The 16077-nt window shown below is 43.2% G+C and overlaps 1 protein-coding gene across 4 annotated transcripts in view; it reads left to right on the top strand.

The window, feature by feature from the left end:
- Window positions 1-16077, top strand: part of DSCAM (DS cell adhesion molecule) — an 836160-nt gene that overhangs the window by 678265 nt on the left and 141818 nt on the right. For all 4 annotated transcript variants that reach the window (NR_073202.3, NM_001271534.3, NM_001389.5 and 1 more), the window contains one exon: window positions 1606-1676. Coding sequence is in view for 3 of the 4 variants with exons in the window: in NM_001271534.3 (NP_001258463.1) it covers window positions 1606-1676 (71 nt within the window). In the remaining variant the exon portion in view is untranslated. The remainder of the gene's footprint in view (window positions 1-1605; window positions 1677-16077) is intronic.

Genomic DNA, 16077 nt, shown 5'->3' with positions numbered 1-16077 from the left:
AGACAAGCTAAGTAACCCGCAGAAAAAGCACACAGCCAACAAGTGATAGAACCAGAATGTGAACTTGGACAGAAAAAACTCAAATGGCCCATCAACTTAGCAACTACATCATGCTACTACTCAGAACTTCCTCTTCCTTTATAAAAAAGGAAGGGAGCTTTCCCTTAGTCATGCGCTTCCCCAAATCTACCCTTTATCTATAAGATAGCTTTACTTTTCCCATTACTTCCAAACTCCCCAAAATGAGTTCATATCCACTACTTCAGCTTTCTTATCTCCCGTGTGCCATACAACCTTTTGCAAATGTCCACAGAACTGGCTTTCTGTAGTTCTGCAGTGATCTAAAAATTGTCAATCCAAAAACATTTTTTAATCTAAAGGATTCTTTCCCTCTGATCTCTGTGTCGTCATTTGCTTCTGCTTCTCAGAAGACACCTGTTTTCCTGCTGCCTTGCATTGCAACCTTCTTTCAGTGTGTGTATCTCATAGCTCTGATTACATTCTGAACTCTTGGTTGGCAAAATGTTTTACATCTCTTAGTTCTACACCATGTACCTAGTAGGTAGCACATTTCCAACACATGCCTATCAGCTCTAACTGGGATGTAATTGGAATTGTCTCTCATTGGCTCCCTGTAATTGAGATTGTCTCTCATTGGCCCCCTGTAATTGGGATTGTCTCTCATTGGCCCACTGACTTATTGCACACTCAGCAGAAATAGGTTGCTTTAAATTGCACACTTTTGTTTCCTCTTTAACATTGCTTCAGCACTCTGTGGCTAGAGCCCCTGGTTCACAAGGGTTTTTTTGTTGTTTTTTGTTTGTTTATGTTTTGAGATGGAGTCTCACTCTGTCGCCCAGGCTGGAGTGCAGTGGCGCAATCTCGGCTTACTGCAACGTCTGCCTCCTGGATTCAAGCAATTCTACCTCAGCCTCCCGAGTAGCTGGGACTACAGGTGCATGCCACCACACCCAGCTAATTTTTTGTATTTTAGTAGAGATGGGGTTTCATCGTGTTAGCCAGGATGGTCTCAATCTCCTGATCTCGTGATTGCCCGCGTCGGCCTCCCAGAGTGCTGGGATTACAGGCGTGAGCCACCGTGCCCGGCCACAAGGGTTTTTAATTGAAGAACAAAAGCCATGAAAGACACCCAAAGGCAGAAGAATCTTGATTATTTTTGCCCGAAGTCATTCTAATCAATTGAGAAACCCCAATACCACATCACTAAGCAAAGCTTCCAGCGGGGAGAGAAGGACCTTCAATACACACCATAGACAGCATTTCATAAGGGAAATTTTGTTTTGCAACTTTCTGTTGTACCCCTTGTTCAAAATTGGGATTGATTCACGAGGTTGTCAAAGACATGGTGAGAAGGAATACCATGATAGGTCCCCAAGATTCATGTTTCCAAAGAGCAAATAAACAAAGGCCTAGAGTTGGACACAGTAATTCTACAAAATTGACATTTCCCATGACCGCTAAAAACTTCTTTCTCTGTGCCAAACATAGGGATGGGTTGTCCTCGGGGACCACCTTTGGCTGTGTAGGCTTCGATCTGCTCCGGAAAGCGTCTCTAACCTGCCTGTGGGTTTTTGGTCCTTACAGCTCCTGATGGTCCACCTCAGGAAGTTCACCTGGAGCCTATATCATCTCAGAGCATCAGGGTCACATGGAAGGTAAACTCAGCAAACATTTGTATTCTCGGTGCTTTCCCCCCAGGGCGAGCCCTTCACTCCTGTTCAGTGTTATGACACCAAGACTCTCGAATTTTACAAAACTTTTATTTTTTCAAAATTAAGTTGAAAGCCCTTTTCTTAAAATGCAGTATTTGTATCCACATTTTGAATACTTTTACAGCAAATTCTGTGTCTCAGAGAATAAAGTGGTTGTATCTTTTTTTTTTTTCTTCCTTGAATCTTGATCAAGGTCTAAGCAGTGGTCTCTACAGAAATAGTAAAATTGATGTCCCTGACTGCATGCTCTCATTTCATCCCAGCAAAAATGTTTTCAAATTGCTTTTTTTAAATGGCAAAGCATGCGGTGGCAGACAGTCCACCGAGGTGGCAGAAAACAGGCCAAGTCCTCACTGTGCCACTAACTAGATGTGTTCTCAAGAAAGCCCCTAAATTTTCTTGCCAGTGAAGTGAGCTGTTGAATCCACTGACTCCCAGGGCAGTGCTACCCCATGTGTGGCCCATAGAGGCAGACTGGCTGCTGGTTACTTTAGTGTTTGTTGGAAGTAGCTGGGAGAGAAAGAAAGCTTGAGCCACAGTGTAAACAATTGCATCACTAAGCACATCGTTTCATTCAACAGCCATGGTTTCCATAGCAAATTTTCTCAAGTAAGGAAGCAGTGTTGATTCTGGAGCAAGCTCATCACCAACCACCACTGTTCCATGGCCTTCAGGTCAGTAGCATGGCCCTGACCTGGTGGGCCATGGCATTAGTCATCCTCCTGAATGTGCTCTTGGAGATGGCTCTGTCTTAGGCCAAATTCCGTTTCATCCAGAACGTTATTATCGAATCAAAAGTTCTGTAACATTGCATTAACTATCCCCGCTCTGAATTTCTCTCATGGCATGTGATTTTTTTTCTTGTCTCTTTCCTCACCGTTTTTTTTCTGTGGCGTCACTGGGAGAAGAGGGCAGCCAACAACTACAATAAGGTCTTCACATCACACACCTCTTCTAACCATTGCATCTGTTTGTTTGTTTGATTGTTTGTTTGTTTTCCTTCTAGTATGGGTTCTTTCATAAGATGACCAGCCTCTGTAACAAAAATGGATTTTCATTGTTGGGGCGGATACCACCTTTGGTATTACGGGCGTTAATGCAGCGAGCCCCTTTGTGTCAGCGTTTCTCAACCGCAGCCAATGAGTTGTGTTTCCAGCGGGCAGCGTGATATGACTGTTTAGCTGCATAGAAAGTGCAGGCCGAGGAGTGTGGGAGGTGGTGTCATTGGTCTTTGTAAGCACATCCACCCCCTGCGAGCATCACACACATTGTAGAATAAAGACGCTCAGCAAGCCATAACCCCACACGCATTCCCGCCACTCTACAAATGGAATGCTGACTCACTCTGTCTTGAATTGAAGACTGTGAAGTTTTACCCACTAGCTTTACACATTCTCTCGTGTTTTGCCCTGAAAAAGACCAGGTATTACTGTGGCCTCAAAAGCTTTTTGGATCTTTTGGGTCCTGCATGAGAGAGGTGTCTGTCCACAGAGGATCTAGCTCTTATAACTAAAAATGGAAACTTCTGAGGCTTTAAAAGGCATTGTATCCTTTCTCTCTCTGTAGAAAGCAGCCACAAAAGTCAGTGCATTGCAGTTAAATTTCTCTTTAGTGCCAAAGGGTGAAATGTTGTGGGACTATTAAAAGGAAGCCTGGCTCTCATTAGATTGTGAATCGACTGAATACATTGTTCATGGAGGAGTGCAATCTATCTCTGTAGTGGGCCTTTGTGGCATGGCCTGTCAGCAGGCAGACTTGCCGGTGATCTAACTGACTAATGAGGTTGGGGCTGCCCTGTCACCAGCTTAGCATTTCACATCGGCCTGTTTATATAATGAGCTTTTAAAGGACACCACTGATTCAATCGAATTGGACACTATTACACGAAATCTTAAGTATATGTAAAGGACAATATGTTACATATAACATGCCTTTATTTATGGCATAAAATTCAGAATATCTGTTTTGTGTAAGGAGAAAGAAAGAAGGAGAAATAGCGTTAGCCCCAAAGAGGGAGCCCCACATCTGTCAGCCACGGTGGACATATGCAGTCGTGGGAAGTCTAAGGTGGAAGCTCATTCATGGTCACGGACACTGATCAGAAGTAAAAGATGCATTCAGTACAGAGACACAGGGTAAAGGAGGAAATAGCTCTGGGGTTTTGGTGGGAAAATAGCCATTTAGACTCTAAGCCTTTGAAAGGTAAGGGGCACTTTGGTGGCCTTTCTGTAACACTGGAGATAGATATTACATTTATTTAATTATCATTGAATAAGCACTGCTTCTGTAATGACACCCTCTATTGATCAAAATAAGCAACTTTCCACTTTTATTTCATTTTATTTTATTTATTTATTTTGAGACAGAGTCTCACTCTGTCGCCCAGGCTGGAGTGCAATGACACGATCTTTGCTCAGTGCAACCTGTGTCTCCCGAGTTCAAGCAATTCTCCTGCCTCAGCCTCCCAAGTAGCTGGGATTACAGGCATGTGCCACCACACCCAGCTACTTTTTTTGTATTTTTAATAGAGACAGGGGTTTTCACCATGTTGGCCAGGCTGGTCTTGAACTCCTGACTTCACGTGATCCACCCACCTTGGCCTCCCAAACTGCTGGGATTACAGGCGTGAGCTACCACACCTGGCACCCTTTTTATCTTAGTTATTTCTTTCACCAAAGAAGAGCTTCTAATTTTAAAATCTTTCATGTCCAGCAAAGGTTGCTCAGGACCTAGTGAATGCAGCCATCCTACATCAGCTGCAGCACCTGGATTCAGGCCCCTTATCTTGCCTCGCCTTCCCAGGGATACCTACCCAAGCAGCAGTCCACAAGTGTCATCGTCTCTCCTGTCAGTGTTCAGGCAGTTTGTAACATGCTTACCTCTCCTGTCCATTCCTGCTCATTTGAGGCTCAGATTGTGCATGACTGCCCCCATGAAGATGGGAATCCCCAGAGTGCAATTAGAGTTTCACCCTCTATGTTACCCATTGCTCTTGGCGATGGCTCAGGGAGGTTCCCACCCAGTGGCTTCTGCAGTCTGTTTCATGTGCATCCCCTCCACTGTTCTGGGAGCTCCTTGGCAGCAGGAAGAGAGGCTTACTCAGTTCTGATCCCTCATGGCTGGCATGTGTTCCATGAATGAATGAATGGGTAAGTGAAGGAGAGGTGAGTGTATATGTGAGCTGGGAATGAAGAGGCCTAGAAGACAAGTGTTCCATATCACAATTGCCTGTGAAGCATTACGTGTTTCCAAGACTGCCATGGAGATGGCATCCCCGCTATCAGGATCTCCAGAGAGCAAACATGCTGAGCTCAGGTCTAACTCATGATACAGTGAAATGCCCTAGACTATACAACGGCAGGCACCCAAAGATGTGAACCACACTCAGTACACCAGGCGACCAACCACTTTTCATATGAGTTTCTACTATGGTAATTTTCAATATAGTTTATTGAAAAGTAAAGGGCAGTAGTGGTCCAATTTGTGATAAGTTTCATGGGAAATGGACATCTTCACATCCCAAATATAAGCCCATAGAAAGATATTCAAGAGGAATATCTTTCTATAGGCTATATTATGATGTCTATATTATGCAAGATGAAGTCTCAGAAAGGGCTCTTAAATACTTTTACAAATATTAAGCTAATTAAAGTGCTACCCCATGCCTTGACAGAAATCCAAAAGACAATGTAAGCAGTTCTGAATAAAATTAAAAGTAAATGACAATAAAGTTTCATTTGACATTCTTGGAGAAACAAAAGGATTTGTGTAAGCAAATACAATTTAATTCATGGCAGGTTTTGTTTCTGATTCAAAATCAGAAAGAATATTTAAAGCTATGGATAATTGATAACATATTTGATGAAGTACCTGAACATTGTACAACTAAGGAATTCTTTGGTTTTTCAGAAAATTCCAATTTTTAGTTTATCTCCTAAAGTGTCTCTTTTAGCAGTGCCTGTCACCTTCTCTCCTAATCAGTCTCAGAATCAGCTGACCCTCTTTGGATGCAAATTAAGGACAATGTGATTACCAGCTACTTGTGTGCATGCTTGTGTGTGTGTGTGTGTGTGTGTGTGTGTGTGTGTGTTTGCCATGGTCACTCATAAAATAAAACATTCATTATTTAGAATATTTAATGATTATATACATCTCAAAACATTTATCCAGAGAATGCAATTTAAGACAGAGTTTTTTTCCTATTGATATAAAATTTGTGTTGTTGTTTTATTTTTGCATTAAATAAGAAATCTTTGCAGAACCACAGGCTGTCCCCAAAATATGAAATGGTCAATTGCTTAAATATTTCTGTGCTGAGAACAATTATCAAAGTGATTACTTGCAATAAAAATCCTGAGAATAATTTTACCATTTGGCCCTCAGTATTGTACTATCTGCGTGAAAATTTTACTGAGAATAAGCAAAATTCTCATTTAGAATTAAGAAAGAGAGGTATGATTTCTGTAAAATACTAAGTTGAATATTCAGAGATTTAATTAAATTTCAGTAATCTGAAGAATATTTTTAACCAGAATATCACATCTCCACTATACCCAATAATTCCAGCTAATTGAGGCATCATTACAACCTATTAAGTTTCAGAGTTGAGCTCTTACAACAGGAAAATGACTCAGTCTGTCATTTAAAAACAAAACTGCCTTATTTCCAGTGACCTCCGTAGTCATCGTTTAATAAACTGCAGGCTCCACTTGCCTTCTGCACTAAAATCCCTCTACCCCAGGGAAGTGCAAGGTACCTTGGAAAAGGCAGTCTTGGAGGCACCTTCCAGCACTAGTATTTCCTGGCCAACTGGGACAGCTGTCCTTAGAGATATTTGCTCCCCGCCAGGCACAATGCTAAACTTCTGCATGCATTATCTCATTTGATCTGTGAGCTGGGAACACCCAGTTTTGTGCAGAGGGAGATCCTGAAGTCAAAGGAACTTACCCAAGTTCTGAAGGCTGGTGACTGTCAGATTGAGGACTTCCACCCAGGCTGCCTGGTTCTGCCTCCTGGGTTTCTGAGCAGTCAACCAGTTAATTACTAGGAAGTGCCAAGATTGTAGTTCGTGCATAATAATGCTCAATAAATATTAACTCCCTTTACTATTCCTTGCAAACTCATGTTATAAATTATACCCAACCCCATAAAAATTAAAGATATATGAAATTTACATTCTTACGTAGTATCCTTTTCTTTCCAAATTGTAAACTTAAGCTTAGAGTAACTTTCATAGTGAGTAGACACCCTTTTTTCCTATATCAACTGAAATTCAAAAAGGTTGCCTTGAAATAAACTTTACTTAATTCTTCAACTATCACTTTAATCTTTAGGCTATGAAAAATGACAAAAGTTTGCATTTGCTTTTAGGAACTAATCCATTGGTTCTAGCATTGGTTTTATAATAGCCTTATTGAAATTCCTGAACACCAACATGTCTTACAAATACTTAAAGAATTTTTAGCCCTTCTCATATTAACGAGTCTAACCTCCTTCCTTGATAACAAGAAAAGAAAAAAAAATTTCAAAATCTCTGGTCATCCGTATAAAGTAAGATTGTTCTTTCTCAACTTTTTTAGGTGGACTAGACTCTAGGTTCCGTGAGGGTTGAGGACATGTCTTGTGTGTTCACTGTACCCTCAGCAGGAGTGCAATTAATATGCGTTAAATTAATGCATAAACCATTTACCATTGTTTACTTTTATCATAAAAGGTTCATATCAAGAGGTGGTGCTTTTAAAAAAAAAACTGTGGACTTTCTAGAAAGCCCTAGGTGACTAAATTTGCATCTTTTTGGTGTATATGTAAACTATGCATGTTTCTTTAATGAAGCCATGGTGTTTATTTATACCATTTGGAATGTATTCTGCATCTCTCCGTCTATACATTGGGTTACTCCTCTCGGTTTAGCCATGTGATGGGCCTTCTTCAAGGACTCCAGTTCTCTGTCCCAGGACAGAGCTGCCAGCCTGCATGCACAAAGGGTCCGGCAGGTCTCCTCAACTAAGCAGGCAGTTCCCTTGGTTTCCAGCCTAGAGCGCAGCCAGGAAAATGCTGGCTGCATTTGCAAGAGCTACTCGCAGCCACAGGGGTGGAATCTAGGTCTGATGCTCAGGCAGGCTGGGAAGAGACACTATCTGGGACTGTCAGCCTAAGAGGCAATTCTTGATTCAAACCCCACTGAAAAAGCTGTACCTCTCCAGCAGAGTGGCCTTGACAGGACACAAATTGAACTTGGACTAAGGCTTAGGACCAAGGCCGTCTGCCGTCGAGCCAGAAATCCTGTTGGATGGTTTCTTCTAAGAGTTTCACGTTGAGTCTGGATGAACACAAAAAATCTAAGTGTAGGCACTTTGATTTTTTGTATAACGGTTAGGTTATAAGCTGTAAAGTTGCAATATAACTTTAGAAGGCAAGTATTGTATTTGCCTGATTTAAAGAGCATATTATCAGAAATGCAAATAAGGTTGCAACTAAAGGGGTATTTTGGACATCTATTGACGCTCATCCTTAGGTGTTTTCTTAGTGCATCAACATTACATTTTTACAATTGGACCAGGTCCTGAAGTTGTGACACTAGGTCAAAAATTGTGTATGGTCAGAATGATATTGAAAATGACTTAAATTGTCTAATAAGCACACTATGCATAATATTCACTAGGAAGCTTTACAGTAACATATATATACAAACATGTAATATTCATAGTGAAAACTGAAAAGTACATGTAAAAATATAAGTTGACACTATTTCATCACATTTTAAAGTAACATTAGCGTAAGTTAAATCCATTTCCAACAAGTAAATTATATATAATTAGAATACAGTGTAAAAAGTACTGGATTAAATTTCAGAAAATTAGATACGACACCCATCTCTACACCTAACAAAATGACCTTAAGTCACTTGATTTGTCATTATTGGAACTTGAACCCTTTTCTCTAGTTCTGAGTTGTGTGTTTTATTCATTATGTCATAACCAAGAAAGTAGCAGTGCATTTTAATGATGAATTCTCCTCTCTCCTCACCTCCCAGTGCTGACTTGATAGCCATAGAGGATAACGGATGTGGGCCCACTCTGGAATCCATAAGGTGGTCCCTTGATTAACAACCCCGATTTGGATCCCTATCCTAGATGCTGATTCCGCCCACCCCACCAATGGCTCTGGACAGCACTGCCATTTCTGATGGCAAATATCTCCCAATAAATGTAAATGTGGTGAAATTTTCCCAACAAAAAATAGAAGTTTATTTTCAGTAACCTAATAATAGATGGATAGGGTCGGGCACAGTGGCACATGCCTGTAATCCCAGCATTTTGGGAAGCCAAGGCGGGCAGATCACTTAACATCACGAGTTCGAGACCAGCCTGGCCAACATGGTGAAACCCTATCTCTATTAAAAATACAAAAATTAGCCAGGCATGATGGATCATGCCTATAGTCGCAGCTACTCATGAGGTTGAGGCAGAATAATTCCTTGAACGCTAGGAGACAGAGGCTGCAGTGAGCCAAGATTGCTCAACTGTACTCTAGCCTGAGTGGCAGAGCAAGACTCGTCTCAAAAATTTAATTAATTAATTTTTAAAAATAGATGGGTAGGTAGTAATTTAATAAAAGTATTCAGAAGACCATCTTAGACAGTTTTATCAGTTCTCATATAATCCTAACTCTGCTTTTCACAGAGAACAAATTGGAAAATCAAGCTAAAGTTAATATGGCATTGAGCATTATGAATGCATGGATGCCATCCGTACAGGGAGTGCATAGGTGGATATACACTGTTTAATGTGCTGTATTTCCTCAGACAGCAGTCCTTAAGCCATCTCGCTGATGACATTTCCCATCTTTTCAGAGAAATCAAGTGAGATACATAAGTTAGTAAACAGGGCACAGATGTTAGAATGAAAAAGGAAAACATATATCCAATCAAGAATTACATAGACATCATCAAATGGCATCTGCTATGTCATGGACCCCTCTCCTAAGGCAAGGGAAGAAACATGACATTAGTTTTATTGTTATTATTATGGCAACTCGGCTGGACGAAGTTGGTTAGGGTCCATCACAGGAAGAACCCCAGCCAGGAGGGCACAGCTATTTTCCAGACTATTTTCAAGGTAGCATGAAGCAAGACAGAAAAACACAATGTGTGCCTTCAAACGTATTTCACTAGTTCAAATACATTTAAGTTAATGCACTAAGATGTAACAAACTATTTCAAGATAGCCCATAACATTTTTAAAGCCAAACTCTTCATTGTATTAAAAATGCTGAAAGCTACTTCAAATTCTTTCAATTCCTGTAATAAACTCTTCCTGTTCTTTTGAAAAATTTAAGTTGAGACCAAAAATAAAAGTACTTTGTGCTTTGAGTAATTATAGATGTATAAGAAATAAAACCATTTTACCTTCTTGTTTTGCCTGCCAGTAACAATTTGAAGTTGGAAACAGGGTTTGTTTTTCTGTAAATAACAGAAGAATTTAGGTGGCAGATCCTTAGTGAATTTAGGAAACAAGACTTCCCACTGAAGGAGAGTGTGATTCAGGGAGTGCCTGTGTTGCTCCCGTGGGCCCGTGTGGAATCTGTGGCACGTGTTGCATCTGGACTTGTGGAGTATTTCCCCTCAACATAAGCCAGAGTGTTCACAGGGGCCCTTGGTCTGAATGCTTCTAGCACATTCCTAACAGGGAACATACAGTAGCCTATTGGACAACTGTTTCTTTTCTTTTTTTCTTTTCTTTTGTTTTTTTGTTTTTGTTTTTGTTTTGAGACAGGGTCTCACTCTACCACCCAGGCTGAATGCAGTGTAGTGGCACCATCCTGGCTCACTGCAGCCTTGACCTTCCAGGCTCATGTGATCCTCCTACCTCAGCCTCCTGAGTAGCTGGGACTACAAGTGCATACCACCATCACCATGCCCAGTTAACTTTTTGATTTTTGTAGAGACAAGGTCTCACTATGTTGCCCAGGCTGGTCTCAAATTCCTGACCTGCAGCGGTCCTCCTGCCTCGGCCTCCTAATGTGCTGTGATTACAGGCATGAGCCACTGTGCCTTGCCCAGACAACTTTTTCAATATTCTCCTCGCAAATACCTATTCATGCATGTTGATGTCTAAAATTCTCTTTAGTCAAGGCTAAAGCTTTTCATTACCCAAAAATAGATAAGAGGCTAGGCATGGTGGCTCACACCTATAATCCTAGCACTTTCAAAGGCTGAATTGGGAGGATTGCTTGAGCCCACGGGTTTAAGACCAGCCTGGGCAACATAGTGAGACCTCATCTCTATCAAAAGAAAAAAAATAGCTGGGTGTGGTGGTGTGTGCCTGTGGTCCCAGCTGCTCAGGAGGCTGAAGTGGGAGAATCACTTGAGCCTGGGAGGTCGAGGCTGCAGTCAGCTGAGATGGCATCAATGCACTCCAGCCTGGGTGACAAGGCGAGACTGTCTCAGGAAAAAAAAAAAAAAGAAAAAAGAAAAGGAAAGAGAGACAAAGCCTAGCTCTAGAGAAAGAATGCCATCCTCCTCTTAATCCCTACTGAGCTATAGAGGGCAGATATTGAATCCAGGACTGGAGCTCCATTGTTACTGCAGACATTACTATTCCTTGTCTTCTGATAGAACACAAGTTAGAACTATCCATTGGAGCATGGATAAAAGGAGAGTAACGAACTCTAACCAACACTGGGCAGAGCCCAGGCCTTTCTCCAATGCTCCTTTCTTAGTAGTGCCTCTCCTGTCAACCTTTCTCCCCTCTCTCCTTCCCACCCTGCCTTGGACCTGCAGCACACCCAGTAAGTTCTACCTCACATGCTGGTTCTGTCCACAGCACTGTCCTGTACGAGTCTGCAAACTGTTTCTCTAATGGGCCAGAGAGCAGATATTTTCAGCTTTGTAGGCCCTGCAGTCTCGGTCTTAACTGCTCAATTCTGCTGCATAGGCACAGCTGCAGTCCATGCGTGGATGAGTGAAGACAGCTGGGATCCAGTAAAACTTCACCTAGGAAAGGTGAAATTTGAAGTTCACATAATTTTCACATGACAAAATATTCTTCCTCTTTTGATTTTTTTCAATCATTTAAAAATGTAAGCCACAACAAGAAACCGTTGTTAGCTAAGAGCCACATAAAAACAAGCAGCCAAACAGATCTGGAGGAGGGACCAGTTTGTCAACCCTTATTTCCTGGATTGAGATGATCTCTCGAGAGGGAGCCACATCCAACTGAGAGAGTCTCATCTGAGACAAGGCTAGCCCCTCCCGCCATATATGATATATGCTAAATCATCACTCTCCAGTTCAAAGATCCACAGATCTTTGGGGCAGGGGCACAATCCCTCCAACCTCTTTGCTAATGCATAACAGAAGTGACCTTTGCTCCAGTTCCCAATAAGTTCCTCATCTCGTCTTAGAACTCCTCAGCCTGGACTTCTTTGCCTATATCACTACCACCATTGTGATCATAACAATTTAACAAGTCTCTGGGAAGTTCCAGACTTTCCCTCATCTTCCTGTCTTCTTCTGAGCCCTCAACACTCTTCCAACCTCAGCTCATTACCCAGTTCCAAAGTTGCTTCCATATTTTCAGGTAGCTTTATAGCAGTGCCCCACTCAAAAATGGCTTCTGGTTCATTGGTTCTTTTGGCACAGATGTAAAGCACTCAGGAATTCCTTCCAGTTATAAAATTAAAGCTCACCTTTCAGTGGGCAGGCTCCTTCTGAGACCTGGATCTTCTCTGGTTCTTCTGAACAGATACTTAGCAAAAATGACAAAGGCTGCAACAACCCGGCGTGTGACTGATGCCGCTTACTCCTTTACAAGCCCCTTTCTCTCTCTCTCTCTCTCTCTCTCTCTCTCTCTCTCTCTCTCTCTCTCTCTCTGTCTTAGTTTGACTGTCACAGCTTCCACCTGCCTCCTGGCAGTGCCGTTCCCATCTGTGTGTCCCTTCCAGCCCAGGGTCACTCTCACCCGCTACTGGCTCTCAGCCTCATCCCTGTGGATTCCAGGACTCAGTTTGTCTCCATACTTACCCTCTCCTCCTACATCACTTAAGGGTTCTCTTAGTTATTCTTTAATTTATATTATTAAATATAATATAAATTATATTATATATAGGGTGGGAGGGAAATGGAGGCAGTTCCAGTTTAAGGACCTACAGGGTAGACAGAGGCTGCCCTGTGTGCATGTCAGAGCACTGGCTGGGGCGACTCCTGGCTTGGCTCCCTGCCTTGGCCTCCAGCTTCCCACGCCCTGCCCTCCCCAGTGGAAAGGGCCTGTTTCGTTCCAAGGAAGATTCTTCTTCACCCTCCTTTCCTGCCTTTTCTCATCAAGACATCCAGGATGCCTCCAGAGCATGCAGACCCAGTGGTTTGTTGGGGTGAGAGGTGGATGTGGATGTGCCTTCATCTCACTCAGCTCCACCCCTGCCCGACTGACCTCTTTACCAGCGGTGTTGGATCATGATTGGCCCTCCCCTGGCGCTGTCTTACAGAGCTTCCAGAATCAGACACTGTCTTCTCCCATCCCGCAAAACTACTTCCGAGCATTTTTCATGGCCCCATGACCATGCCTTTGAAATCCTGCCTCTTGTGCTTGTTTATCAGATTGGAGTCGGGGTGCCCCTCCCTCCCTTATCTCTGTGGCCTTTCTCGGGCCCCTGCCCTGCCCTCCTTGGCCACACTGCCGTTACAGGGCCTCCATTACCTGCAGAGGGGCTACTCTGGGTTGGGCCCTCCAGGCGTGTGTGGTGGGCCAAAGCCCTTTGGGTTCACTCAGCCACCGCTAAATAGTTGGGGCCCAGCCTCAGGCTCACAGACTAGCATACCCCCTCTTTTGCATCAGAGTGCACCCTCTAGGTCCCCATTGTTGGGCGCGGGAGCTAGGTGGGGGTATTCCCAGAGGCCAGCCCTCAGAGTTGATTCATAGGAAGCAAAGCCCGAATGCCCTTGTGTGGTCCTTGGCAGAGAGCACTGATAGGCCTCTGTGGCTGGTAGGAAATGTTAACTGTGGTTAGCAGGTGGTGTGATGTATGAGGAACAACAGAATTCAAAAAGGGAGTGTCCCAAAAAGAGGAGCTATGTCACAGGTGTTTGTTGGCTGGATGAATAAAGCGGAAGCTGTCCTACACTTTAGAAATGGAATAAATGGAGTTTTGCTTTGCAGTAGTTAACCTCAATTCCATGTCATAAAATTATCAATCTATTTCTAGCATTCTGCATTTGTGTCTCAAGGCAAAGCCCACATATACCTTGGCCACTCTTTCCTCCTCAGCTGCCAAGTCTGACTAGAATATGGCAGCTGCAGCCTGCAAGTAACATTCTTGGCTCTCAAGACAGTGCCTATTTCAAATAATCTGTCATTTATCATTTATTTCTCAAACTGAAATTGCACAGCCCCTTTGTTCTAAGCACTGTCTCATTATCAGGTCATGTGGCCCTTTTCTATTTCATGAAATGTGGACATCTCATCCTTTCCTAGCTCCTCAAAAGATAATGACTTTGGGGGAGCCAGTCACGTGGCCATACATCTACCCATTATGAGACCTAGGACACAGATACTGTATTTAATACAGTGCAACTCTAAGGAGAGATATATGAACAAAAATATCATTTGAGACCGGAAGCAGTGGTTCACTGCTGGTAATCCCAGCACTTTGGGAGGCTGAGTTGGGCAGATTATTTAAGCTCAGGAGTTGGAGACCAGCCTGGGCAACATGGCAAAAACCCATCTCTACAAAAAAAGTTCAAAAATTTGCCGGGTATGGTGACATGTCTGTGATCCCAGGTACTCAGGAGGCTGAAGTGGAAGGATTATTTGAGCCTGGGGTGGTTGAGGCTGCAGTGAGCCATGATCCCACCACTGCACTCCAGCATGGGTGACAGAGTGAGACCCTGTGAAAAAGAAAGAAAAATAAAAGAAAAAGAGGGAAGGAAGGAAAGGAAGGGAGGAAGGAAGGAAAGGAAGGGAGGAAGGAAGGAAGGAAGGAAGAAGAAAGGAGAGGAAAGAAAGGAGAGAGGAGAGGAAAGGAATTATTTGAGGCAATAATGTAAGAGGTCTCCTCGACCTGACATAGCCCCCTCAAAATCCATTGTCCATGGACCAAGATAGCCAGCTGGTTCTCACACCACCCCTATACCTATTGTAAAGCAGAATCCCTTTAGTGCTGAGTAAGGTAGATCTTTAAATTACTCCCAAGACCAGGAAGGTCTAACAGTTTTATGTGCATTTATTCCCTTTTGTTTGGCCAAGAACCAGGAAAATGGGCTACTGGCTAACCTGAGAAATGGGGGAATGCATAGTTGCTGCTTTTTAACTAAATAGTCTCTCCCAGCAAAGCCAAATCTAAATCACTGAGTGACTCCCAGTGATAACAACAGTGATTCTCAGACTCAGGGAGCACTGGTATCCCCTGGAGGGCTTTTTAAAACACACCTCACCAGGCTCCACCCCCAGAGTTTATTCCTGATTCAGGAACTCTGAGTGGGTCCCCAGTTCTTGCAGCTCTAACAGTTTTCCAGGTGATGTGGATGTTGCTGGTAGCGCACCATACCACTACATACAGGCTCCATAGGTTCTGTCCCGTAGATATGTCCCTAGCTTCATCTGTGCTTGTACCGTCCCCCACCCCTGTGATCACCATGGATACCTCACCCCAGAGTCACTTGAGCCTCTCTCCATTCCTGGGTGTCTTCTGTCCTTGCACCTGGGTGCAGCTGTGTATGCCAATTGCTTTGGCGACAGCATTGTACCCTCCAAGGCAATGTCCAGTCACCCTTTAGCTCAGGTGAAGTATGCTCTTCTCTGGCAATCCTTCTGACCACGATTTGCCCCTCCATAGTACTCTGGGCAAACCTTCAGCACTGCAAGTATCAGGCAGTATTCTGAGCACTGATTCACTCAAAGGTGTCCCTGGTTGTGCCATGCCTTGTGTAGAACAGATGCCCAGTTAAGGTTTGTTCAATGTGATGCACCCATTCACTGAGCAAGCTTATGGAATGGCTACTGTTTATGTTGGAAAGCAGGTAAGGGGAGGCTGCAGAAAACGCACAAAGATGAAAAAGACTGTCCACCCAACTTGTCACATAAGGGAAATGAGGATAGATTACATTTTAAGTGGATTTGGAGGAATCTATAAAGAAAATGTTCAATTCATTTCCCAACTAAATTATTCAGCATGCCTGAGAAAGGCAGCATTCTTCAAACGTGAAATTCTGCAGTGAGGCTCTTAGCAGACTCCAGCCAACAGGTGAATTCTGCACATCCAGCAGAGGCCATTTCCTTTCAATGGGAAGGGGGCAGGAGGCATGAGGGAAACAGAACATGGCTGGTGGTCTTCAGCACAAGAGATGCCT

Source organism: Homo sapiens, chromosome 21, assembly GCF_000001405.40.
Source record: "Homo sapiens chromosome 21, GRCh38.p14 Primary Assembly".
Taxonomy (NCBI): domain Eukaryota; kingdom Metazoa; phylum Chordata; class Mammalia; order Primates; family Hominidae; genus Homo; species Homo sapiens.
The sequence above is the reverse complement of the archived record's forward strand: the minus strand, read 5'-3'. Positions and strand labels throughout refer to the sequence as shown.